General features: G+C 42.3%; 1 protein-coding gene and 1 long non-coding RNA gene across 3 annotated transcripts in view; both read left to right on the top strand.

Annotated features, from left to right (window-relative positions):
* The window catches only part of USP12 (ubiquitin specific peptidase 12), a 105,656-nt gene extending 99,981 nt beyond the window's left edge, over positions 1-5,675 (top strand). Inside the window, exons 8-9 of one of the 2 annotated variants that reach the window (NM_182488.4) lie at positions 682-760; positions 2,447-5,675. In NM_182488.4, the coding sequence (NP_872294.2) occupies positions 682-760; positions 2,447-2,548 (181 nt within the window). In that variant the 3' untranslated portion in view covers positions 2,549-5,675. The remainder of the gene's footprint in view (positions 1-681; positions 761-2,446) is intronic. The other variant, XM_005266282.3, reaches the window with a different exon arrangement.
* Positions 5,676-9,681: 4,006 nt separating this feature from the next.
* LOC105370124 (uncharacterized) lies at positions 9,682-26,085 on the top strand. Its single transcript, XR_941767.3, has 2 exons — positions 9,682-16,335; positions 25,064-26,085. It is a non-coding gene; the product is annotated as an uncharacterized LOC105370124 (long non-coding RNA).
* Positions 26,086-27,636: the final 1,551 nt, after the last annotated feature.

Genomic DNA, 27,636 nt, shown 5'->3' with positions numbered 1-27,636 from the left:
TAAAGAAAAGGAATTATGCTTCTTTTATTTTTATGTATATCTACATTTATATATTCCAGATTTGTTTGAAATGAGATGCAGGGGCAATCATAGTCATAGTTATAATGGTATTAAGAATTAGGTACTTAATAATGACTTACCATTGAGCAAAGGTCATTTGCTTTTAAAGACATTTTATGAAGTTCAGGCTTGATTTTGGAACCAAGGATTTGATATCCTTGCCTGTTTCAAGCATCATATTGGATCTTTCCTCAAGAAAAAAACCATTACCAAGGGAGTGAGACTTAGAAATAATTCTATATGCATTGTTTTATAGTCCAACTCAGCATGTTCTGCTGTGATCCCCTCCCTTATAAAATGATAGAAAAATATGTCTTTTATTATAGAAGCAAAATTGAAAATTATTACAAAGACAGTAAAAAATTTCAGTAATATAGCTGTATGTGAAAAGAATACTGATATATCTCTTAGAGTACTAATTATTTGATTTTAAAATTGATGACCAGTTCAACTCAGTGTAGCTTTATCTCTTTTGGCAAGAATAGGTAAGGGGTATAAAAAAGAAGCAGTTCTTTTTTACTGCTATTTATCTGTTTCTGTTTCTTTATAAAACAAAATTTAGAGCATGAAAGAGTAATATTAATAAATATATTGAATTAACTTCTTCTTCGTTTGTTTTAGTGGTCCCAATCGAGGCCATTATATTGCAATAGTTAAGAGTCATGATTTTTGGTTGTTGTTTGATGACGACATTGTAGAAGTAAGTAGTTTCTTAATTTCTTATTTTTGAAAGTTGTATGCATATGTTGCTTTTCACTTTTTTCTCATAGTTTTTCATTTATATATGACTGGTGATGATATGAGACAAATGTCTGGGTCTATAGATTGTAGTCTAATTCCTACTTCTTACTCTGCAACGTCCAAGCCCAGCAGTTGAGTGGTCACCTAACCTTTACACACCTAGAATAAAACAAGGGAGGCCAGGTGCGGTGGCTCACGCCTGTAATCCCAGCACTTGGGGAGGCTGAGGCGGGCGGATCACCTGAGGTCGGGAGTTTGAGACCAGCCTGACCAATATGGAGAAACCCTGTCTCTCCTAAAAATACAAAATTAGCCGGGCATGGTGGCGCATGCCTGTAATCCCAGCTACTCGGGAGGCTGAGGCAGGAGAAGCGCTTGAACCCGGGAGGCGGAGGTTGTGGTGAGCCGAGATCGTGCCATTGCACTCCAGCCTGGGCAATAAGAGTGAACTCCGTCTCAAAAAAAAAAAAAAGAATAAAACAAGGGAAAGCTTTCAACAACAGACCTGGCTTTAAAAAAAAAAAATTAAGCCATGTAACATACATACAGTAAAGTATACAAATCTGAATTTGATGAATTTTTATACATGTGTCCCCCCATGTCACACACACATGGCCATACTCACACACTCACATTTGTAACTACCATCCAGGTCAAGATACAATTCATTTTCAACACCGCAGCAGGCCCCCTTGTTCCTCCTTCTGGTCAGAACTTACAGCTTTCCTCACCTCTACCCTCCTGGAGCCTGCTATTTGGACTTCTATCATTATGATTAATTTTGCCTAGGCTTGAATATAAATGGACTCACATAGCATGATTTCTTTTGTGTCAGACTTTATTCACTCATTGATATATTTGTGAGATGCATTCTTGTTGCCTGCGGTAATAGTAGTTCTTTTTCACTGCTTTGTCATTTTCTACTGTATGAATATACCAAGTTAGAAATTTGACTTTTTGTCAGTTAATGACTATTGTGAATTAAAATGCATTGGTCATCTTTTATAAGCCTTTTGCTGGACGTATACACTCATTTTTCTTGGATATATGTTAGGTTGGACCACTAGAAGTTGCCTTTTTGTTGTTTTGGGAGACAGTCTTGTTACCTAGGCTGGAGTGCAAGGGTGCGATCTCGGCTCACCACCACCTCCACCTCCTGGGTTCAAGCGATTCTCCTGCCTCAGCCTCCCGAGTAGCTGGGATTACAGGCATGCGCCAACACGCCTAGCTAATTTTGTATTTTTAATAGAGATGGGGTTTCTCCACGTTGGTCAGGCTGGTCTCGAACTTCTGACCCCAGGTGATCTGCCCGCCTTGGCCTCCCACAGTACTGGGATTACAGGCGTGAGTCAGTGTGCCCAGCCTAGAAGTTACCATTTTGTTGGTCCAAAATAGTTATTAGTGGTTTCATATAATTCATCCTGTACCTAGAAGTAGAATTGCTGGATCAAAGGGTAGTTGTATGTTCAGCTTTAGAAGATAGGTATTTATAAACATTTTTTTGGTGTGCCCTGCCAGCTGTGTGTGAGAGTTCCATTTTCCCCACATTTTCACCAAATACTTGGTATTGTCAGTCTTTTAAATTTAAGCCATTCTGGCTGTACAGAGCTCATTTATGTACTAATGTTTACATTTTACCTCACAGAAAATAGATGCACAAGCTATTGAAGAATTCTACGGGTTGACATCAGATATCTCAAAGAACTCTGAGTCTGGTTACATCCTTTTCTATCAGTCTCGGGACTGAGAGGGAACCGTGATGAAGAGACACTTTCTGCCTCATTTCTTCTCTGGTTATTTTGGAAAGGATCAAGCACTGATTTTTCAAGAAAAGAGAAATGCAGGAAGCTCAGGGGGCAGTAGCACACTTTGCACACGATAAAGCAAAGACGATGGATTGACAAGCCCTTCCGATCATGGTAGTTGATTTATTTGCTCAGGTATCATGCTGTCTGTACAGTTCCATACAACAAGGAGGTGAAATCAGAGATACCAGCTCCTCTTTTAAAACAGCCTTCCAGTCATTGGCACGCATTTTCTCTTTATTAATTGCACCAATAATGCTTTGAATTCCTTGGGGGTGCAGTAGAAAGAATCGGAATCTGTGCCGTATTGATAAGGAGATGATGTTGAACACACTGCATAAATTTGCCTGGTTCAGTATGTATAGAAGCATATTCAGTGGTCTTTTCAAGAGTAAACCAGAAATACTTTTGGGCCCAACACTTGCAGTTGCCTTCCTGATGTAAAAACTAACATGCTAGATAATCCAGTGTCGGGAAGACAAAGATGTTTTGCTTCTCTGAAGAAGCTTATAATAATATACAGTATATGTATATGTAGGGAGCAATTGGTCAAAAGTGGCTTTTTGTTTCCCCAAGGGGAAAGACTGGCTTTGTAATTATAATTTTTTCCTTATTTATTTTACTTAAAACTGGTAGAGTCTAAGTATTATATGAAGTGCCCATGATTCTGTCAGTAAATTTGAACATATTTTTATTAGTTAATGTCAGTTTAAGTTGTCCTTTTGTTTGTTTCTATTTTTAAGGTGAATTTTAATTTCTATCTGAAATCAGTTAAGATACCTTGAGAAAAACTGCAGTGAGAGGAGATAAATATCCTTTTTCAGGAGGAACTGATATCTCTGGCTAAATATTTGTCCTTTTATTATGGTTTCTAAATCAGTTATTTTCTTCAGCTTTAATTTCATAAAATTAAAAAACTATTTTAAAAATTCCTGTAGTTGTTGGAATAATTAAAAATTCTGGTGCAGTGGTGGTATACCAATCTTTAGAATTCTTAAGTATTCTAATGTTTCAAGTTGAGATCATGCTTGGGAAAATCATGTCATAGCATTTATGTTATTTTCAGATGCCATTTTTTACCCTGGAAAGAAGTCATAATGTTCATCATAACCCTAGCAGCCTGGATAGTGAGCTAAACAAACCCTTCAAAGATTAAATTTTAATCAAGTAGACCGGGAATACAAAAGACAAGTCCTTCCTTCCCTTCCCCCCACCTTTACAAATCTTACTGGAAGGGTGTTCAGAAATTAAAATCTGTGTTTGCTAAGACTTCATTCTGTTGGGGGTTTTAAGAAGTAATATATGTAACATAAAATATATGTAAACGATTGCAGTTTTTTTGGACGTTTTTCCATGCATCAGTAAGTTGTCTGACAGTAGCCAAATGTAACTTGCAGAAAATTATTGAAAATTATATTCAGAATAATAGCAATCAGGCCTTGGATGTTCTTTATTAAACTCTTTTCAGGCAGTAAATTTAAAAAAAATTGTCATTTTCTAAAGTCCTTTTGCTAAAACTGTTGACTATGGAAAACAACAAAAAGGAATTTTTTAGTCTGCTGCTATTATTAACATTTATTATCTGTATCTTTTGGCTCAGGAAATGACTTCACCTATTTTTTCCATAAGCAGACCTTTAACAGAGTCACTTAATTGGGCTGCTTAAACAGATGTTCTGGGAGAAAATTATAATATTTAGTATTTGTACAAAATATCAAAAAGTATTTTGACAAGTTTCTTTTTAAGATAGTTCCTAAAGCCTTACCCTGGCTAGAGGTGTTTTGTACAAATTATATATAAGCCAGCCTGATCTACCAACATGCCACAGAGAATCACAATCAACAGTGTGGGGAAAGTCAGGGCAGTGGAAGTGGATGCACTCTTTTTATTTTGAAGGCTTAAACCAAATTGTCTTGGAATTAAAGCTGTATTTCTGCAGCTTTCGGTACAGAGAAAAAGAGGAAAGTGAAGCTGTGTCAGTTTTAACATTAGCTATATCAACATGTTTAAGAAAGATAGATGAAGTCATTTGCATAAAGGTACAGCATTGAAATACTATGTTGTGTTTGTTTTTACATTTTTGCATTAAAAAAAAACATGCCGTAAAAGCCAAGTTAAATTTCATATTAAAGCAAGTTCTAGTGTATGTGTTGAGTTCCTGGTAATCACATACTTGTTCACATCTACACCGTACTTCATAGTATGATTTGTCAGGGGAGGGATTGTGGGGTGACAGTTTTACATTTACTTTTTCTTCTTAATGCAGCTGGATCTAAGTAAAATGTTTTGAAGTTTATCAGAAACTAAATGTACTTTTAAAACGTATAGGGTCAGGGTTGGGGGAAAAATACAGGTATAGTAAGTAAGAAAAGTGACCCATGAAGAAAGCATCGTGAGGTTGTATGTTGGTTGACTGTGATTAAAATGCGGGGCTGGTGTAAGTTGTAAGTGGTGGCTGATTGCCGTGTAACTATGTACATGATTGTTGGGATGGCTGTCCCATATTTTGTATATTGGAATAAAAATTTCTATAAATTATTGTAACTAAAAGTAAATATTCTAAATTAAGTCCCACTTCTTAAGTCACATGGCTTCTGTCTTGGAAATTTTACCTTTAAAAGATTATTTAAGACAGGAACCAGGAGGCTTGGGAACAGGGAAAGAGGGAAATGTTGTATTATGTGGGTCTTGGGGCCTCTAACCATCAGTATAGGGTTTTTTCTTTCCTTGATGGCAGTAGAAAGACCTCATTTTCATAACATAACTACTCTTGATACTTTCTTTAAAAACACTTTTTATTAAAGATTCTATCATGAGGTATTTGGCTGGGAGCTGGGAGGCTAAAGCGCTCATGTCCTGGCTCTTCAGTGAATTTAACTGTGTGACCTTGGGCAAGTCACTTAACCTCTCTGTGCTTCAGTCTCCCTGTCTTGTAAAATGGGAGTAATACCTACCTCACAGGGTTGTTGTGGGGATTAATTAGAGATAATGTCTGTAAAGCATTTAAGGTTCTTGAAGAAGGCACTATATAAATACAAAATAATATCTATTAAAGTTGGTTTATTTGTGCCTGTGGGTTTCAAGTGTGTTTTTTCCTTTTTGCCTAAAATGTATTTACAGATTAGAAGTAGACACTTTGGAAACTGTGTTACTGCTTTTGCCCAAGCTCCTACTTCTGTATCCAAAGAGATTTTCCCTAGAACAGAATTGCATGTGTGTAAAACAACATTCTACATGTGCCTGCATTTATTTAGCACATAGTAGCTTGTGTCACCTTTCTGTGATAGCATGTCTGAAAAGTTCAAAGTTTAAATTTGAACATTGAGAGTCATAGAATCTTAGAGGGTAAAATAGGTAAAATACCTTAAAGATCACTGTTTCTCCTGCTCCTCCTCCTTTCCTGTGTAGTAATTGCTCCTGTAAAATCTGTTTTCACAAGTGGTCAGTCAACCTGCACTTGAGTGCTGGAAGCCTGTTCCATTATTGAGTAACTTGAGTTGTTATTTATGTTGCCATTATTTTCAGCCCATCCTTCATTCTCCCAGTGTGCTTCTGATCTCAAGGCTGATCTTTGTATTAGATGGCTTTCAGAGACTTCATCCTTCCTGGGAGCCCTATTCTGGAAGCACTGTTTTTCATTCATGTCTCTGAAAGAGTGTTCCTAGAACAAGCACAGTGACAGGTGAACTATACTGTCAGTTGGGACCTACGATCACATTCTCTTTTCTAAGCGTCTGTATCACACACTTCATATTGAACTTGTAGTAAATGAAATCCTGTATACCTAAAAGTTTTCGTGAACTATTGAAAAGCTGAGAGTCCCTTGCCACACACCTTTTTTCATGATTCCCTGTTAGCGGTACCTGTGCCTGTTAACATGTCAAGGCTTTCCCCATCTCTCTTCATTCATGTGTTTTCTATAATAACTGCATCTGTTTTCTGTCTGCAGAGCTACTGAAGTAACAACCCATCGCTTTTGGGTGATAGCCTGCTATGTGATCGCCCCTGTACTCGATATTTTACTTCTTTTAATGTTAATCTTAACCACATCTGTGAGACAGTGACATCCTCATTTTACAAAGGAAGAATCTAAGGTTCTTTAGAGGTTAAGTAACTTTCTTAGAGCCAGTCAGCTGGAAAGTAGCAGGTCCAGGTTTCAAGTAGGTATAACTCCAGTGTCCAGGCTCCTAACCGTGGCTATCCTTACCAAAAGATTTTTGTTGTTGTGGTAAAAAAAAAAAACAAAAAAAAAAAAAACAAAACTAAAAATTACTATTTTAGCCATTTTTAAGTGTCCAATTAAGTGACACTGAGTACATTCTCCATGTGCAGATACCACTGCCGTCCATTTCCAGAATTCTTTTCATTGTCCCAAACAAGAACTCTGTACCCATTAAATGGTCACTCCCCATACTTCCCTTCCCCGCGGCCTCTGTGAACCTGCATTCTGCTTTTTATCTTGATGAACTTGCTCTAGGTGCCTCATAGAGGTGGAATAATCACTATTTGTCCTCTTGTGTCATTTCACTTATTTTCAAGGTGCATCCATGTTGTGGCATGTGCCATAATTTCCTTTCTTTGTAAGGCTGAATAAGACTTCATTTATGTATATACAACATTTTGTTTATACATTCATCCATTAACGGACATTTGGGTCTTTTCCACCTTTTGGCAGTTGTGACTAACGCTGCTGTGAACATTGGTGTGCAAGTATCTGTTCGAGCCCCAGATTTCAGGTTTTCTGGGTATAGATCTAGGAATTGCTGAATCGTGGAATTCTATAAAGAACTTTTTGAGGAACAGCTATATTGTTCTCCACAGCGGCTGTACCGTTATGCATTCCCACTAGCAATGTACCAGTGTTCCAGTTTTTTTACATTCTTGCCAATGCTTATTATTTTCTGAGTTTTTTTTATAATAGCTATGCTAATAAGTATGCAAGTGGTATCTCTTTGTGATTTGATTTGCATTTCCCTAATGCCTTGTCATGTTAAGTATATTTTCATGTGCTTATTGGCCATTTGTGTATCTTTGAGGAAATGGCTGTTCAAGTTCTTTGTCCAGTTGTTTGCTTTTTTTTCTGTCGAGTAGTAGGAGTTCTTTATAAATTCTGGATATCCCCTTATATGTACAGTTCGCAAATATTTTCTCCCTTTCTGTGGTTTGTTTTTTCACTGTCTTATAGGTAGTATCCTTTGATACACAGTTTTAAATTTTAAATTTTGGTGCAGTCCAGTCTGTCTTTTTTCTTTCTCCTTCCCTTCCTTTCCTTTCTTCCCTTCCTCCTTTTTTCTTTCTCCTTCCCTTCCTTTCCTTTCTTCCCTTCCTCCTCTTCCTTCCCTTCCTCCTCTCCCTCCCTTCCTCCCTCCCTTCCTCCCTTCCCCCCAGGGTCCCACTCCCACCCAGGCTGCAGTAGCACAATCACAGTGGCTCACTACAATCTCAAATTTCTGGACTCAAGTGCTCCTCCTGCCTCAACCTCTCAAGTACCTGGGATTATAGGCCACCACACCTAGCTAATTTTTAAATATTTTGTAGAGGTGGGGCTGTCACTATGTTACCCAGGCTGCTCTCACCTCCTGGGCTCAAGCAATCCTCCCACTTCGGCCTCCCAAAGTGCTGGGATTACAGGTGTGAGCCTCCTCACCTGGCCTAATTTTTCTTTTGTTGTCTTTACTTTTGGTATATCTAAGAAAGCATCACCAAATCCAATGTCATGAAACTTTTGCCCTGTGTTTTCTTCTAAGAGTATTATTTTAGCTCTTACATTTAGGTCTTTGATCCATTTTGAGTTAATTTTAGTATGTGATGTAAGGGTCAACTTCATTCTTTTGCATGTAGCTACCCAGTGTTCCCAGCACCACTTACTGAAAAGACTGTCCTTTTCCCACTGAACGAGGTGCCAAAATCAGTTGGCCATGTATGCTAGGGTTTATTTTAGGACTCTCTTTTGTCCCATTTGTCTGTATATCTGAGCTTAGCCAGTACCACACTGTTTTGATTAATGTAGCTTTGTAGTAAGTTTTGAAGTAAGGAAGTATGAGTCTTCCAACTTTGTTCTTTTTCAAGATCGTTTTGGCTACTTAAGGCCCCTCAGAGTTTCATGTGAACCTTAGGTTTTTCTGTTTATGCAAAAATTGTCGATGGGATTTTCAAAGATTAAATTGACTTAACAATTTTAAGTCTAATCTATGAACACTGATGTCTTTCCATTTATTTAGGTTTTTAAGTTCTTTGACCAACCTTTTGTTGTTTTTATCATACAGGTCTTTTTAAGTATTTTATTATTGATCTATTATAAATGGGATTATTTTCTTAATTTCCTCTTAGGATTGTTCATTGTGTATAGAAATGCAACTGATGCTTGTTGGTTTTGTGTCCTGCAACTTTGCTGAATTATTAGCTTTATTAGTTTTTTTTTGGTGTGGAATCTTTAAGGTTTTCTACATATAAGATCATGCCATTTGCTAACAGATAATTCTTTGTTTTCAAACTTTTTTTTTTTTTTTTGAGACGGAGTCTCACTCTGTTGCCCAGGCTGGAGTGCAGTGGCATGATCTCAGCTCACTGCAACCTCCACCTCCCAGGTTCAAGCGATTCTCCTGCCTCAGCCTCCCTAGTAGCTGGGCCTACAGATGCCCGCCCCCATGCCCGTCTGATTTTTGTATTTTTAGTAGAGATGGGGTTTGACCATGTTGCCCACGCTGGTCTCGAACTCCTGACCTCAGGTGATCCACCCTCCTCAGCCTCCCAAAGTGCTGGGATTACAGACGTGAGCCATTGCGCCCGGCCTGTTTTCAAATTTGGATGACCTTTATTTACTTGTTTTGCCTAATTGCTCTAGCTAGAACTTTCAATACTACATTGAATAGAAGTGGTGGAAGTAGGCATTCTTGTCTTGTTCTTGTTTTAGAGGAGAAGCTTTTAGTATTTTATCATAGTACGATACTATCTGTGGGTATTTAATATATGGCCTTTATCATGTTGCTATTTCAATTTGGGTGTGGCTTTTTTTTAAATCAAGGGTATTGAATTTTGTCAAATTTTCTGTATCAATTGAGATGATCCCTTTTTTTTTTTTTTTTTTTTTGAGACGGAGTCCTGCTCTGTCACCCAGGCTGGAGTGCAGTGGCGTGATCTTGGCTCACTGCAAGCTCCACCTCCCGGGTTCACACCATTCTCCTGCCTCAGCCTCCCGAGTAGCTGGGACTACAGGCACCCGCCACCACGCCTGGCTAATTTTTTGTATTTTCAATAGAGACGGGGTTTCACCATGTTAGCCAAGATGGTCTCGATATCCTGACCTCGTGATCCACCCACCTCGGCCTCCCAAAGTGCTGGGATTACAGGCGTGAGCCACTGCGCCCAGTAGATCACATGTTTTTTTTATCTTATCAGTGTGATATATTATAGTGTTTTTCATATGTGAAACTATCCTTGTACTCCAGGGATAAATCCACTCGGTTATTGTGCATAATACTTTTAGTACGCTGCTGAATTCAGCTTGCTAGTATTTTGTTGACAATTTTTCCATCAATATTGATCAGAGACTTTGGTCTGTAATTTTTATTTCTTGTAGTGTCTTTGTCAGGCTTTGGTGTGGGTAATGCTGCTGTCATAGAATGAGTTAGGAAATGTTCCACCCTCTTCAACTTTTTGAAAGAGTTTGAGACTATCAAAAGATTTTTTAGCAATAACCAGTACTTCCATCCTTACTGTAAGTCATTATTAAGAAAGATGAAGGCCTAGTTTTTGCTCTTGAGGAATTTGTCATATGAGAATGAATCAAAGGAAACCTAGAAAAATCAGCTGTATAAATGGACATATTTATACAACTCTACAGGGTAGGTGGAGGAATGCAGAGTAGGAAAGTATTGGTGAAATCACAGGGATGCAGTCAGATTGTCCAGCCCAAAATGGGAATCTGGAAATCAACAGCAGTCAAAGGGACTGGAAATACTAAGTATAATTGCAATTTAAGAATATTAACTTATGATACTATTGGGTAATAGAATTTCTAAGACTCCATCAAACTAAATTTTCCCCTTTCCTTTCCCTAAGGAAAGGCCCTAAATTACTCTTGAGGAATTCTCACTCAGGCAGCCACTGTAGAGCCCCAACTCCTGAGAAAAAGATTTTACTCTATTTTGTATCATATACATCTGTTATAATGCATCTAAATAACTGGATCCTTTAAAAATCATCTGTTCTGGCCAGGCGTGGTGGCCCATGCCTGTATTCCCAGCACTTTGGGAGGCCAAGGCAAGAGGATTGCTTAAGCCCAGGAGTTCGAGACCAGCCTGGGCAACACAGGGAGACCTTGTCTCTAGAAAATACAAAAAATTAGCCAGGTGTGGTGGTGTGCACCAGTAGTCTCAGCTACTTGGAGGCTTGAGCCCAGGAGGTTGAGACTGTAGTGAGCTATTATCACACCACTGCAACCCAGCTTGGATGACAGAGTGAGACCATATTTCAAAAAAGAAAAAAACCTGTTCTCAACAATTTGTCATATAATTAAACTGTGGTATAAAACATAACTGAGGAAAGCTCATACCTCCTGCTTGCTTTCCATTAGCCAAACTGTCTTAAGTAGTGCCGCTATATTGATTTGATCAAATCTGGATGATTAGTAGAATGTTTTGATTCCTGAGATTGATCCCTGAAGATTTTGATCCACTGCAGATGAGAAAACTAGTTTTCAGAAGTTCCCCGGTGATTCTGATCAGCTGGGTTTTGGTGATTAGAATTCCGTGGGATGCAATTCGTCTGGAGTTCTCTAGCGTGTTCCTGTAAGGTCTCTGCCAAGCCAGAGTTGATCTGACATGGGGAGAGTTGTCAGAAAACCAAATCATTTCAGGATTGCTCAGGGAAAACTTACACGGGGTGTAGCACCTGTCTTCTCATACATCGTTTGAAGAGCTGCTGTCTAGGGGATGTTTTGCTTCTAGGGTTGAATTGGGACTGCATTGAAAAGGACAGAGAGCCACATACTGAGTACAAGTAAGAGCTTCCTGGTTGTTCAGCAGGGAGAGGAGCTGACATACTAAGAAATAAAGTGTCAAACGTACGTCATTAGACTGTTCATAGGTGGGGTTCTTAACACTGGCTGGAACAAGCTTGTGCAACCCGCGGCCCATGGACTGTAGGCCGCATGTGGCCCAACACAAATTCATCAACTTTCTGAAAACATTATGAGATTTATACATGAACCTTTTAAAAAAATTTTTAGCTCATCAGCTATTGTTAGTGTATTTTATGTGTGGCCCAAGACAGTCCTTCCAGTGTGGCTCAGGGACGCCAAAATATTGGACACCCCTGGGCTAGAAGGTTGCGCAGGATAACCTTAAGCTTCTTCCCAGGTGAGGCAGCTAAGACTGGGGAACTTACCCAAGGTCACTGGTAAATGGCCAAGCTAGTGCCTGAGCATATATATATATATATTTTTTTTTTTTTTTTTTTTTTTTCGAGATGGAGTCTTGCTCTGTGTCACCTAGATTGGACTACAGTGGCATGATCTTGGCTCACTGCAACCTCTGCCTCCCGGATTCAAGCAATTCTGTCTCAGCCTCCCGAGTAGCTGGGATTACAGGCGCCTGGCTCATTTTTGTATTTTTAGTAGAGACAGGGTTTCACCATGTTGGCCAGGCTGGTCTCGAACTCCTGACCACGTGATCCACCTGCCTGGGCCTCCCAAAACGCTGGCGTTTTGGACCTGGGCCCATATTTTCTATTCCAGGGCTCATATTTAGTTCTGCATTATGCTGTCCTTTGTCCTTTAAAATAGCTGGACCTAGAGTGCTGTAACACACTATAGGGAGAGTTTACATTGCCACTGGTCATTAGGATGGCAACTATCCCATCACCAGTTCCTGACTAGAACAGAGGTGGGTTGAACAAAACACCAGTCTGAAGATTTTAGAGTGGCAGTCAAGTTTATATCACCTTCAGTGTGAGCAGGCGGGGTGGTGTCAAAGTGACATTACTGGTGTTGGGTAAGTCTATGCTGCATTAATAAAACACTTCCCACCATCTCTCAAAACACCTTCCTTTGAAGATTCAGGTTCTTCAGACTGAGGAGCCTCTGAATCGTGACTAGCTTGATAGAAGACTTTACATTAAAAAGTAACTGAGAGATGGTCTATTCACCTTGCATGACTGTGCTATCTTTAATCATCAATCTTTGAAGTGCACACTGGGTCATTCGTAAGCAAGATTACAGAGAATAAAATAGAATTTTGATACCACTGTATTCGCCATGTCATTACAAAGTCTGTATCCACTGTCAGGCCCAGAAACAAGACAGTAATATACTGTCTGCACATTTTGAGATGAGAAATGCAATGATTGTGTTGTTTTTAAACTAGTTGCTGGAACTTTTTTTTTTTTTTTTCTGGTAGCTTTTTCCTTCAGTTAGAAACCATTTTCCAAACAATATTCTTAGGCTACAAAAATGAATGTTTTTGTGGGTGGACTTTTACTGGATGCTAGTTATTTATAACCTATTGAAGTTTTACATTTAAGAAGGAAAAATGATAGAATGAGGAGGAAAGTAGACATAAAATTTCATGTCAATGGAATAGATTATTATTCCGTTAGATACAATAGATTATTATTCCATTAGATGTAATGGAAACCTCAGAAAACAGCTGCAAATAAGCATCTGACTTATTTTCCCAATACTACATATGTTTATCATTCCCTAAATCATCAGTTGTTGCATTTTGATTAAATTGGTTTGTTGAACACATGTATTTTTAAATTTTCTGCAAAAAACAAATTCCTATCATGAACACAAAGTAGGGGCATCGCAGTATCTGGATTTCTACACATTATTTGTACTCTGTATTTTACTACCTATTAAACTATTGATTAGAACTGATTTGAAATTCCATTAATTTACCTTTCCGCGTGTGAAGTTACAAATCGAGATGAGGTTTAGGATCCTGTGCCACAGTGTGCAGGGGTTGGGAGATGAGTCCTTGTAGAAGATACTGCTGGGTGTGGAGCAGAGTTCAGAAGGTGACAAGCCTTAACCATGGGAGGGAGTCCTAGGGGAGGATGCCTGCGCTTCCCTGGCTTGCACAGCTAGGTCAATGGAGGAGGCTTTTGCTGAGAATCTAGGAAGAGAACCAGCTTTGGGGGCATGAGTGTTTCATGGTATGGATGTACCACAGTTTACCAGCATTCGCTTTTAATAAATTGACCTTGCTCAGCAGTTCTGGGAGCTGTAATGGAATGAGAATAATTGGAATTCACATGCCCAGGGTATACCTATTAGCCTATCCCACATCCCACATGTGCAAAACTTAGTTATTAGGATTTGAGATTAGGTGGAGTTGAAATGGCTATTAGGATTCTTAATTAGACTCTGTTTTTGGTGTGCTCACAAACTGTGTTATAAAGTCTATAGTGATTCTGAGGCATTTGATAATTGAGGACACACTGGTAAAACCAAACTAACAGCCTCATGTTGAAGAGTGCTGGTGAGTGGCTATTGAAAATTTCTGCCAGAAACTAGTTGCATCTGTATCATTTGATCTAGCATAAAACATTTCCTTTTCACTTATGGAAAGACACATCTTAAAAACCCTTGAAAGGGTTTAGGACAAGAAAAAAAATTCATTTGCTTGGCAATTTGCACATGTTTGGAGAGTTTTGTGAAGTGAACTGACTGCTAGATAGGTTAAAGCCAGCCTAATAGCAAATGGAATTGACCTGGATGTTGCTCTCTGTCATAGATGCAGATGTTTCAGGCAAACAGGAGGTAAGATGACTCGAGTGCAGCCTTTCAGCCTCATCTGGTGCGATAGCCCCTTGGGGTTAGGTTTGCTACCAGGCTCTCTAAGGAAATTCTGTCGTCAAGAGTTATCTGTGGCAGTGTCACTTTCTCTGACACAGGTCTGTTGGCATCCTTCCCAGCACCAATCTAGATCTGGACTGGTGATCACTTGTTGACCATAAGGTGTTTATTATTATTATTATTACTGTTCTGTTTTTGAGGCAGAGTCTCACTCTGTCACCCAGGCTGGACTGCAGTGGTGCAATCATGGCTTACTGCAGCCTTGACCTTCGGGGCTTAAGCAATTCTCCCACCTTAGCCTCCTGAGTAGCTAGGACTACAGGCAACTGCCACCATACCTGGCTAATTATTTTATTTTTTGTAGAGATGGGGTCTCACTTTGTTACCCAGGCTGGTCTTGAACTCCCGGGCTCAAGCGATTCGCCTGCCTTGGCCTTCCAAAGTGCTGGGACTACAGGCATTGAGCTACTGCATCTGGGTGATCATGTTTACTGCCATTCCTTTTGTTATATTTGATTTAATTTTTTAATTTTTTTTTTTTTTCCTTAGAGACAGGGACTTGCTCTGTCGCCCAGGCTGCAGTGCAGTGGTGTGATCATGGTTCACTGCAACCTCAAATTCCTAAGCTCAAGTGATCGTCCTGCCTCTCAGCCTCCTGAGTAGCTGGAACTACAGACATGCCATGATGCCTGGCTAATTTTCAAATTTTTTGTAGAGATGCGGTCTCGCTGTGTTGCCCAGATGGGTCTCAAACTCCTGGCCTCAAGTGATCCTTCAGCCTCAGCCTCCCAAAGCGCTGGGATTACAGGTGTGAGCCACTGTGCCGGGCCATGCCTTCTCCTTTGTATGTTGAGCTAAGCATACACACTTTAAGTAGGCAGTGAGCCAGCTCTTCACAGCCTCATGACCTTGAACAAGTTGCATAGCCCTCCTAAGCCCACATTTCCCATTTGTAAAATGGCTAAAGTAATACCATCTTGAAAGACGTGAAACTCAACTGAGAAACTTAACCTCACACAGTTTGTGGCAATAATTCCCCAAATAGTGTCATCTAGAAATATGCTAAAACCCAACTGTAATTACCCAGATATTTATTGAACATGCGTTATGTGAAGAGCATCGTTATCAGTTGTTGCAAGGAATGTAAAGATGCCTAAGGCAATTTCCATTCTCATGGCGCTTTCCGATGTAGAAGAGGAGTTTTTGTTGTTAAAGGCTAGACAAAATCTATGTAAAATGTCCTTTGGGTTCAGAGAAAGGAGTTACCAGAGGAAGCCTGCTGTGGTTAGGAGTGCAGGTTCTAGAGGCAGATCACCTTCATGCCCCAGCCCCACTCCGGGTGTTATCCTGGGCACCCGCGCCTCAGTGTCCTTATCTATGAAACAGAGAGCGTTATGGATGCCTGCTTAGCTCAGTGTTAGGAGGATTCCATGAGTGAGCATTTAGTTGAAAGTGCTCCGTAAATGTTAGTAATTATCTGTTCATTCAGCACATATTTATTGAGTGCCTACTGCATTCAATTACCAAGAACAGCAAGTTGAGTGAGATTTTGTATATGCAGTTTGGTGAAGGAAACACAAATCAGTAATGAGTTGCAGGGATACAAAGTGTTGAGAGCCATAATGGGAGCATAAATAAGATGATGCAGGAACACCGGGAAAAGGCATCTAAATCATATTACTGAGCAGAAAAGGCCTCAGGGGAAATAGCACGTGAACTGAGCTTCCAAGAAGTCAGGGTTATTTAGATCAAAGATAGGGTGGAGGCGGGCGGCATTCTGGGTTTCAAGAAAACAGTCCATGAGAAGGCATGGTGGCACACACAAGCATCACACGTCTGGGAAGTACAGCTTTCATGTGGCTGCAGTACACTTGGCAATATTTGGCGAGAAAAGGAGGATTCTAATCCCCAAGGGCCCTTTTTATCCAGGTAAGGAGTCTGGATTTTCCTAAAATGGACATAGGGAACTTTTGAGGAATGTTAATGACTGATTTCTCACGATGACATTTTGGTAAGGTCATTTCAGTGGCAGCGGAGGAGGTAGATTGGAGAGGAGAGCCTGACTGGAAGAGAAAGACCCCTGAGAAGGTAGTAGGAATCCCATTGAGAAGGGACAGGAACCTGGACAAGGTGAAGGCACTGGGGTTGGAGGTGGGGGCTCGGGACTCCAGGTACTGAGGGCAGTCTAGGGCGTGGTGGAGAGTTTGCCATGGAAGTAAGCAGGAGGGAGTCTGCTCTTAACCACAAAAGTTGATGTTCTGCAGGGCTCTGTTCTAGGCAGTTTGCTTTGTTTAGACTCTTCTGAAACAACCATGTCTGCTCCCATGGCTTCAGTTATCATCGGATAACAGTGCCTACCAAACCTTTATCTCTAGCCCAGATCTCCCAGGTCCCAGGCCTGTGTCTCCAGCTGTGTCCCCTGTGCAGTTTTACCCAGTTATGACACAGACACCCCAGACTCAACTTGCTCTACCTACTTCCTGCCCCAACACTGACCTTCCTGCAGCTTCCCTCACCCTGCACGGTGCCATCATCCACCCATGTGCACCTGTCATTGGCTGGAAACCTTCCTTCAGTCCTTCATCTTCCTCCTGCACAGACATTCAGACATTGAGCAAGTTCTGTTAGTAGGACTGGCTCTGCAAACTCTCCTGAACCTGTCTTACCTCTCGTCCATTGCCCTGGTGAGGCTAGTCACCTGGGCCTCCTGCTCAACCTTTCTGCCTGCAGGCTTGGCCTTTACAAACACATTCTCACAGTGAAATTTGAGGGCTCTTTTTAAAGTGTACACATTTATTGAATAGATGCTGAAAGAACTCTCTGGCTTAAGACACTGCAGTGACTCCATGTTCCTCTGAGCAAAATCCATTTTCTTTAACCAGGTCCCTGAGAGCTCAGCTCCTAAACACCTCTGTCACTCTGTCTCTTGGTCTCTCTGTCTCGTCTCTCTCAGGCACACACACCCTCACCCTGTCTACAATCTGGGCATCTGCCATACTGACTCAGTCCCTGGAATGCATTGTGCATGAGCCCTCTCCCTGCTAAACCATGTGCATGTGTCATTTCTCCTGCCTGGAAAGCTCCCACCCCACCCCAACTTCTTACTTTGAAAACCCAGCCATCCTTCAGGTTTCAGCTTATGTCGCCACCTCAGGAAGTCTTTCCTGATTCCCTCCTGAGTGTTTCCACAGCCCCAGCACTTCCTCCGTCCCAGCACCTCCACACTGAGATGTGACTGCCTGTTGACCCGGCTGCCAGCTCATGACCTCACACCACCACCAGCAGACAGCCTCCCTACCTCAGTGGATTCCGCATTGTGAGGGCAGGGCTGTGAGCAATGTGTGCATCTTGTCTGCATGTGCCTAAGGAATAGCAAATGAATACATGAACGAGTGGGTAACTGGACTTCTCATTTCTGGCTTGGGTGACTAGTTAATAGCACCTACACCTAGAGAACAGGGGAGGATGAATTCCTATTGGGGAATGGTAATGTTTGATCTTGAACTTAGTGAGCTCCTGCTGGATTGAGTCCCTGGAAGGCAATGTGCGTGAGCCTTCTCCCCACTGAACATGTGCACGTGTCATTTCTCCTGCCTGGAGCACTCCCACCCCACCCCAACTTCTTAGTTTCAAAACCCAGCCATCCTTCAGGTTTCAGCTTATGTCTCAAGCTTCAGCTTATCTCCTGCTGGAGATGCCCAGCAGGTGGTTAGACACGTGGAGCAAGAGTTCAGGGAGGGCAGCGCTAACCATGGGCTTGGGAGTCATTAGTGTGGCATTGCTATTTGAAACCATTAATTTAGAAGAGGAAGTGTGTGTAGATTAAGGTGTACAGGGGGCCCTGATGGTGTCCTGGGGAACACGGAGGAGGTGCAAGTAGGAAACCCACAAGGCAGACAGAAAAGGCAGCAGGGAGAGACCCGGAAGAGAGTAGCCCACAGGGTCAGATGATGGACAGCCACGCAGGATAAGGATAAAAACATGTCCCTTGGATTTGACAATGAGGTCACAGTTGATCTGGGGGTGGGGGTGCGAAGCGCAAGCTAGATTGCAGAGATGTGACTGCGTGGGCAAGAGGAAATGGAGGGCTGGGCTGACCACTCCTTCCAGGAGCTGCCTGGGAAGGGGAGCAGGGAGCAAGTGAAGGGAGGGAAGGCAGGGAGTTGCAGCCCTTTGCACATTCCATGTTTGTAGGGTCTGGTATTTAAATTTTATTTTACAGTCCCTGTCATTGCTTTTTTCTCCCTGGTGTGGTAGAAACATCTCATTAGAGATAATTTAGAACACACAAGATATAAAGAAAAAAAATGCAACTGTAATTAACTCAGACAGCCAGTGCTGACATGCTGGTAAATTTCCCTCGAGTGTGTGTGTCCGGGTGTCCCCAGCCCTCCGTCCTGATGAAAGCACCAGGCCTGTGACATATGCATAGAAAGGGCTCAAACCCATCCCACTCGGGTGGGAAGTCTGGCCCCACTGCCAGCACCTCCTTCTTCCACACACATTATCTCTGGGGATTCTTGCTGGTTGGGGAGGTGATGAGGTTTCCTCCTAATCATTTTTTTTTTCTTTTTCAGATTTTCTAAATTTGCTGCCTTTTAAAAATCACTTTTGTGTGGAGGAAATGCAAGCCTTCTTATTTGCATTCCCTCCATCTGTCCTGTGTGTTCCAGCCATGTAGCAGTGAGCCGCTCCCTCCTAATCAGCCCCAGGAAGCCCTCTGACTCCCAAAGCCACTGTGCTTTTTTTCCTCATACATGGAGGGTTGCTCGGGGAAAATACATTAAGTAAATGCATGACTACATCCCCATGTCATTAGAATCCATCTTAATGGATGTATAATTTTCCATACATTGGTTATTTATTTGGTGGACATATGAGTCCATTTTCTATTCCTTAGAATAGAATATCTGAAAGGGGTAATTTGTAAGAAATGAAATTTGTTTCTTACGGGGCTGGAGGCTGGGAAGTCCAAGGTCAAGGGGGTACCTCTGGTGAGAGCCTTCTTGCTGGCAGGGACTCAGGTCCTGAGGCAGCAAAGGGCACCACCTGGTGAGGGGCACTTACTTGGTGGGGGGCTGTGGGTGCTCACATGCTAGCTCAGGTCGCTCTTCCTCTTCTTACTAAGCCACCAGTCCCACTCCTGTGATAACCCATTAACCCATGAATGGATTAACCCTTTCGTGAGGGCAGAGCTCTCATGATCTGATCACCTCTTAAAAGGCCCCACCTCTCGATACTGCCACATTGGGGATTAACTTGATACCTTAATTTTGGAGGGGAAAATGTATAATAGCCCATGGCTATGGTTTATTCCATATATCCATATATATATATATGTGTGTATATATATATCCATATATATGTGTGTATGTGTATATATATATATATCTCCATATATATATCTCCAACATGTATATACATATATATAATCCATCATATATATACACATATATATCCGTCATATACACACACACACATATATATATCCATCATATATATATATCCATCATATATATATATCCATCATATATATATCCATCATATATATATCCATCATATATATATCCATCATATATATATATCCATCATATATATATATATATATCCATCATATATATATATATATCCATCATATATATATATATATCCATCATATATATATATATTTTGGTGTACCCATCACCCAAGCAGTATACACTGCACCATATTTGTAGTCTTTTATCCCTTGCTCCCTCTCACTCTTCCCCACAAGTCCTCAAAGCCCATTGTATCATTCTTATGCCTTTGTGTCCTCATAGCTTAGCTCCCATGTATCAGTGAGAATATAGGACATTTGGTTTTCCATTCCTGAGTTACTTCACTTGGAATAATAGTCTCCAATCTCATCCATATATATCCATATATATGATGGAATACTACTCAGCCATAAAAAGGAATGAATTAACAGCATTTGCAGTGACCTGGATGAGATTGGAGACTATTATTCTAAGTGAAGTAACTCAGGAATGGAAAACCAAATGTCCTATGTTCTCACCGATATGTGGGAGCTAAGCTATGAGGGCACAAAGGCATAAGAATGATACAATGGACTTTGGGGACTTGTGGGGAAGAGTGGGAGAGGCCAAGGGATAAAAGACTACAAATATGATGCAGTGTATACTGCTTGGGTGATGGGTACACCAAAATCTCACAAATCACCACTGAAGAACTTATATAACCAAATACCACCTGTACCCCAATAACTTATGGAAAAATAAAAATAAATATTTAAAAGAAAAAAATAAAAGCATGATGTTTCATAGGACATCTAGACTGCATCTTGAAATTAGGAACTGGGATTGTGAACTGAAATCATTTTTCCACATAATATTGCTGCCTAAAAAACTAAAATTTAATGGTGTATGATAACCATTTTACTATGTTCATAAATTTTCTGGTTCAGGACACAGCAGGAACAGCTTGTCTCCGCTCCTCAATATCCATGGCCCCAAGTAAGAAGACTCGAAGGCTGGGAACAGCCCGATAGCTAGGGTCCAGGTCATCTGAAGGTTGATGTGGGTTGTCAGCTGGGATCTCGTCTGAGCTGTTGGCTAGACTACCTATGCCTGTGGTCTCACACATACCTCTCCATGTGATCTGTCCACATGGGATAACTTGGGCTTCCTCACAGTATGGCGGCTGGAATCCTGCATGAGCAAGGCAGAAGCGCAAGGCACTTTTATGATCTCCCCTCCAAAGTCACATAGCAGTACATCTGTCACAGTAGGTTGGTCAAGGCAGCCCCAAAGGTCTGCCCAGACCCAAGGACAAGTATGCCATGACATGGTGGAAGGGATGTCAGGGTCACTGCAAGAACAGGTGGCCTGGAAGAAAGATTGCTGCTGCCACACTCAGTGCCACATTTCTTCTCTAGTGGACCTCGTGGAGGAGACCTGTGATCTAAAGAGCACGTGAGGATATTTATTTAGTAAAAGCTTTTCGGGCATATCTGTTATAAAAAGGGCCAGGACAGAATGCACTGAGGAAAGAAGTAAAGACCGGGGAAGGGATTCCAGGCTGTGGAGGTGCCACCAGTCAAAGGTGTTGGGAGCAGGTTTAGATGCTGGCCTTGGTCACATTGTGTAAGGATGTTTCACGGTCATATGCCATTATTCTACCTGCAGGTAAGTGTCCCTGGGTCTGATGCTGCAATGGGCACAGAAAATAGAAGCAGGGAGAGGGTGCATTACCTTGCATATAGTAAGCAATACACACACACACGTGCACGCATGCACACATGAGCACTGCAACTTTTCTAGACAGAACACTGGTTGGGAGGCTCCCTTGCCTGTGGCTTTCACCATGAACTCCTGAATGTGGGACTGGCAGGTTAGGGATACATGAGAGTCAGTAAAGAAAGTGCGGTTTGGAAGCAATCTCTGTCATCTTTTGGTGTCGAAGTATTAAATAGAATCAGCCAACATATTAGTTGCTGAAGTTACAAATCAGTGCATTTCCAAAGAGACATGAATGTAGTGCTCCAGCAAAATTTTTTTAACTTAAGATATAAATGGCCGGGTGTGGTGGCTCACGCTTGTAATCTCAGCACTTTGGGAGGCTGAGGTGGGCAAATCGCGAGGTCAGGAGTTTGAGACCAGCCTGGACAACACAGTGAAACCCCATGTCTATGAAAAATACAAAAATTAGCCAGGCGTAGTGGCGGGTGCCTGTAATCCCAGCTACTTGGGAGGCTGAAGCAGGAGAATTGTTTGAACCTGGGAGGCGGAGGTTGCAGTGAGCCAAGATCGCACCACTGCACTCCAGCCTGGGCGACAGAGCTAGACTTCGTCTCAAAAAAAAAAAAAAAAAAAAAGATAGAAACCAAGCACAGGTGGGTAGATATTTGAAAATAAAACAGAATTATCCGTGAGCCTTCTATTGTGGTTAAAAGAAAAAAAATGTCAGCTTCCTTGAAAAAGAGTGTCACGTTCAGGGCAGATATTTAAAATAAGAAGGCCATTAATTCATTGATTCATTGAATAAATATTTATTGGGCACCTAATTTGTGCTCAGCATTATTGCAGGCAATAAGGAAGGGAATGAGACACCTGCCCTCATGGAACTGACCTACTGGGGCAAATGATGAATTTACTAGGTGGCGTGGTAGGTATGAAGGGAATGAACAAGGCCACGTGCTAGGATGGCCATGCTGGGGAGGCCTGCTATAGACTGGGTGACCAGGGAAGGCCTCTCTGAAGAGGCAACCCTTGGGTGGGACTTGCAGAATGAGAAAGCGTGAGCGTGCAGGAGCTAGGCGGGGATTGTCCTGGGCACAGGGGTGCAAGTGCACAAGCCCTGAAGTGGGAATGAGTTGGAGGTGGAGAAGTCCTGAAGTGGGAATGAGTTGGAGGTGGAGAAGTCCTGAAGTGGGAATGAGTTGGAGGTGGAGAAGTCCTGAAGTGGGAATGAGTTGGAGGTGGAGAAGTCCTGAAGTGGGAATGAGTTGGAGGTGGAGAATGAGGCGGGGGCTGCTTCAGTGGGAATCCCAAACACGAGTCGCTTTACTTCTATGACTTCAACATCGCGAGTTTTTTGTTGAATGCAAAATTGAATAGTCATTGGGTTTGTTTTTTAAGTGACTTAAAAATTATTACATCTGTTTTGTGTGCACCTCACAGAAAATTTGATGAAAGGAGTGAAAGAGGAAATCAAACAGCTAGCCAGTTGTTCCAATGTCATTCATCAAATAAAACCTCTCCCCCACTGGTGTGAAATGCTATCTCTGTCATGTACTGAAATCCCATATGATTTGTAACGACGGGGCCCTCTCTTCAGTTTGTTTGTTTTGTTTGTTTTTATTTTTTTTTTAGATGGAGTTTTGCTCTTGTTGCTCAGGCTGGAGTGCAATGGTGTGATCTCAGCTCACCGCAACCTTTGCCTCCTGGGTTCAAGTGATTCTCCTGCCTCAGCCTCCTGAGTAGCTGAGATTACAGGCACGTGCCACCATGCCCGGCTAATTTTGTATTTTTTTTTAGTAGAGATGGGGTTTCTCCATGTTGGTCAGGCTGGTCTTGAACTCCCAACCTCAGGTGATCTGCCCGCCTCGGCCTCCCAAAGTGCTGGGATTACAGGCGTGAGCCACCGCACCCAGCCCTCTCTTCAGTTTTATCGGTCTGTCTGATTCTGTTCTTGGGACCATACTATTTTATCTGCTATGATTTTTCATGTCTTAACTCACTTTATTGAAAAGTAATAAGGATGACTATGTAGGCATGTTGAGTGTTTTCTTGGATTACTGGTATTATGTTTTGGAAGGGAGTATATTTAGGCACTGATTTTTGTTGTTATTGCTATGGAACACTAGTAGCATCCCAGGGAATATACATGTTTGTTAGATTCCAGTTTGGGAAACACTAAACTTGTACTGTCTTGCTTCCAAAAGACTAGAAGGCTTGGGGTTGACCCTAGAGGAACTCAGATTCACAGAGCATTTACTGACCACCCGCCACGTGCCAGGCATCATACCAGATGCTTTCGAGTGCATCGTCTCACTTAACCCTTCCTCCAGAGGTTAAGTGACTGTGTTACAGCGAGCGCCCAACATGTACCAAGTGACATGCTACGTGCTGGAGATGGGCAGTTACTTCTACACATGTTCTATCCTCCGGTCAAATTGGACTGCTTGATGTACCCCCAAATAGTCAAAATAATAGCATATTGATGGAGAGCTTTCTGAGTGCCAGGAATCAGGCTTGTCACTGAACGTGAATGATCTCGTCTTACCCTCACAACAACAGTGCGCTCTCTTGTGGGTACACCTTAACTCCAGGCTTTCGTAAGTGGTATAGAGGAAAGGGCCTGCACCTTGCAGTTAGACCGAATTGGTTCTTATTTCATGGATGAGGCCATAGAGGTGTGGAGGGGTTAACTTACTTGTTAACAAAGTGGTGAAGCTAGGATCTGGACCCAGGAGAACGCAGGCTCGGAGTGTAGAGCCTGCACAGACTGCCCAAGCTCTTCTGCTTGCCGAGCCTTAGAGCGTGCCATTTCCCTGCCCTCGTTTCCATGTATTTAGGTTCTATGCATACTTCGAGGCCTCTCTGTCATGTCAGAGATGCAGCTGTTGCTTTCTTCCCTCGCCCATGATCTGCTGGGCTTGGCGCTTGGCTAGCCGGGCTGCTCTATGGAGCTCAGCCTCCTTGAGGGCGGGCCACACTGGGGCATATCTCTGGCAGCCCCAGAGATATGTGGCACAGTGCCCTAAAACAGAACGGATATTTGCTGAATGTCAAATTGACTCTGGAGGGGCCAAACCCAAGACCTTACACGGGGAGAGGAGTGGTCGAAGGTTGGGCCTGTCATTATGGAGAGACAAGAGGTCCTCTCTTGGGATACTCTTAAGTGGTACAGAGAAATCATATGAGGCTGAGGTTAGAGCTGAATTGAAAATTGGCCACATCACTTATTAGCTGTGTACCCTCTGGAGCTCAATTTCCTTGTTTGGGAATTGTGAGATTTATGTAAGATGAATGCACTGAAGGTATAAAAAGTCCCTACCGAGGTGCTGAGGTTATAGCACTTCCTTCCCCCATCTCTTTAACTCAACACATCTTTATGAACCTCCTATGACACTTAAAAAACAGTGCTAAACATTGGATTTCTCAATTGCTCCTAGGGAATAGCATTTCAAGGTTCAGTGGAGGAGAACCCCAAGAGCACCAAAATGGAAAGATGATTTGTAAAGCTGAGGAAAATGTCCAGCTGTGTTTTTATGAGGACTCTCACTGCACTGATATGACAGATGACACCTTCCCTCAACACTGTTCATCATTGACTGCTGAGGGCTCCTTCTTCAGTTTATAACAGGATGGTAACTTCATAAGCAATGTAGGACTTTCACAGGGTTCCACACGAAGCGTGTCTGGATAATTCAGCCAAGCTCTTCAGTCTCCAGCAGTGATGGAATCAGGAGCTCGCTTGGCCAGCCCTCTAATGACTCAGTCACAGGGTCATCCACTTGGGGGTGTGAGGAGAGGAGGCTTCTCCCCGCAAGTGCTTTCGGGGTGATGCCGTAGATTCTTTGTACCTCAGGAGTTACTTTTGCAATTAGAGGTTCTCTCTCTCTCTTGGTATTTTATGCATCTAATTCTGCTTTTCTATGCATGAGTCTTGTCGGATTCAGGCACAGCAATAAGTCTCCAAAATAGGGTCAGAGTGAGTTTAATGAAGAAGTTATTGTTTTCTTAAGGATGAAAATAAACAGAGAGAATGCCTTATTACATAATCAATAACGTCGGCCTCTTGATTAAAACACAAATGCAATTTAGCCCGAAATTATTCTCTAGTTTGATGTTCTACAAAATTAGATTACGATAATAAATGATTGGACCTCTTAAGCACAGGCAGGTGTCCACACGCTGATAGCCTCTGGAGGAGCAGGCTTCCCAATCCGGATTTCCTACGGATGAAAGTTTAGGAAGATGTAGTACTGATCCCAACATCTCACTCATAGTTTCTGCAATTATTAAAGGCTAAAAGACAACACACATAATGGAAAAGCTTAGACTTTTGGAATCGGAGGCTGGATTTAGATACTAGTTTCTCTGCTTAATCAGCTGTGCAAATTTTGTTTCAAGTTACTTAATCTTTCTGAGCCTGTTTTCTTAAAATAAAACATTTTGAAATGGGGTAACAATAGCCACTGTACAGAGTTGTTTTTATGTCTTCACATACTGAATGTGAAAGTATATAACAGTGCTTAGCACATATTAGGCCCTCAGTATATGGTAACTAATAATGTTACAAGTGCTTATTAGCCTAATACAAAACCGAAGACTGTTCACATAGGTTCCAGCATCTGAGGGCTCCATCAGTTAGGTACACTAAGCCCATGGTTCTCGACTTTTGCTGCTCACTAGAATCTTCTGGGAAGCTTTTAAGAAAAGCTGTTGTTCCGGCTCACTTCTTAAAGACTCTGATTTTAACTGGGCTGGGGTGAGGCTGGGTGTCCACATCCTCTTACGCACGGATGTTGTGCACAGCCAGGGCTGAGCAGCACTGCCGCGGATCCTCAGCTGGGACTAGCTGGCCAGCCTTCATGAAGTCTCGCAGAGGTATTTACCCTGGGGGTGGGGGTTACAAAGGTCTGGGGTCTGGCTTTTGCACTGCCCAGTCCAGAAAGCATCTCATCAGAGCCCTCGAGGTAATTCATGCTGAGAGTGAGTGTCATCTTGGTAATTTATCATGAAAAATATAGCTGTCCCACAGACTAAGTATTTGCATTGGCCTGAACAGCATATTCTCTCTTAAAGCAGACTCCAAAGGAAGATGATCACAATGACAGAGCAGAGGAAGTGGTTGTATGGTTTGCATGTTATCTGGCATCTGGTTTGACGGCCCATAAAGGGGGTGTGCCTTCAGGCAGGCTGGGTGCTCCTTTGCTCCCATGGGGGTCCTTTCTCACCCATGAACGGAGTCCACATGGGCAGATCCGGGTTTTGCTGCTAGGGCAACCCTTTCCATGTGCTCCGGGTCTCCCTGTCCGTCCCCCTTTCTGCCCACCACGGTCACGTTATGTCATGTCAGGAGCTTCATTCAAGTCAGCCACAACTCTCAGGCCTGGAAAACCTTTTCCCCCTTAGAGTGATTGACGCTTTCCAGTGATCCCTTCACTCTTGGTTTTGTGGTTCTGCTATCATCAGGCCATTTAGAAATGGATCCCATACTGTGAGTCCAAACAATAGGCCCCGCCCAAATCTGCATCTTACAAAACAACTTGCTAGTGTGCCAGAAAGCGGGGTGCTGTGAGCCTTAGCTGGGCTTGGATGAAAGGCAGGTGTCACAAGTTTTCATGTGCATGCCCAAGAGGAAGGGACTTGGCCTTGACCGTCACCTGTTTCGTTCCAGGGGGCATTGTGGCCTTGAAGGCTGTAACTAAAATGTCTGCAGGATCATGAACATTTGGCTTTGCCTTTAGCACCTGCGACCTGATCCCGCCCTTGCCTGTCTGACCAGGGTGCAGCAGGGAGGAGTTGCCGGGCTTCTGGAGCCCGTGCATCTGGGAGGGACGGAGGGAGGATGATGATGACAATGACAATGCCCTGTGGCAAATGTGTGTGTGAAGGTCAGGACCCCAGCAGTGAAGACCTTAGAAGAGGGTGTCCTTGAGAGACAGGAGGGAGCGTTGTTGAGATCCACAGGTGGGCCAATGTTTTCCATGGGGGTCTGATGGACAAATGAACAGAAGAA

The sequence above is a fragment of the Homo sapiens genome, chromosome 13 (genome assembly GCF_000001405.40).
Source record: "Homo sapiens chromosome 13, GRCh38.p14 Primary Assembly".
In the NCBI taxonomy this organism is placed as follows: Eukaryota; Metazoa; Chordata; class Mammalia; order Primates; family Hominidae; genus Homo; species Homo sapiens.
The sequence above is the reverse complement of the archived record's forward strand: the minus strand, read 5'-3'. Positions and strand labels throughout refer to the sequence as shown.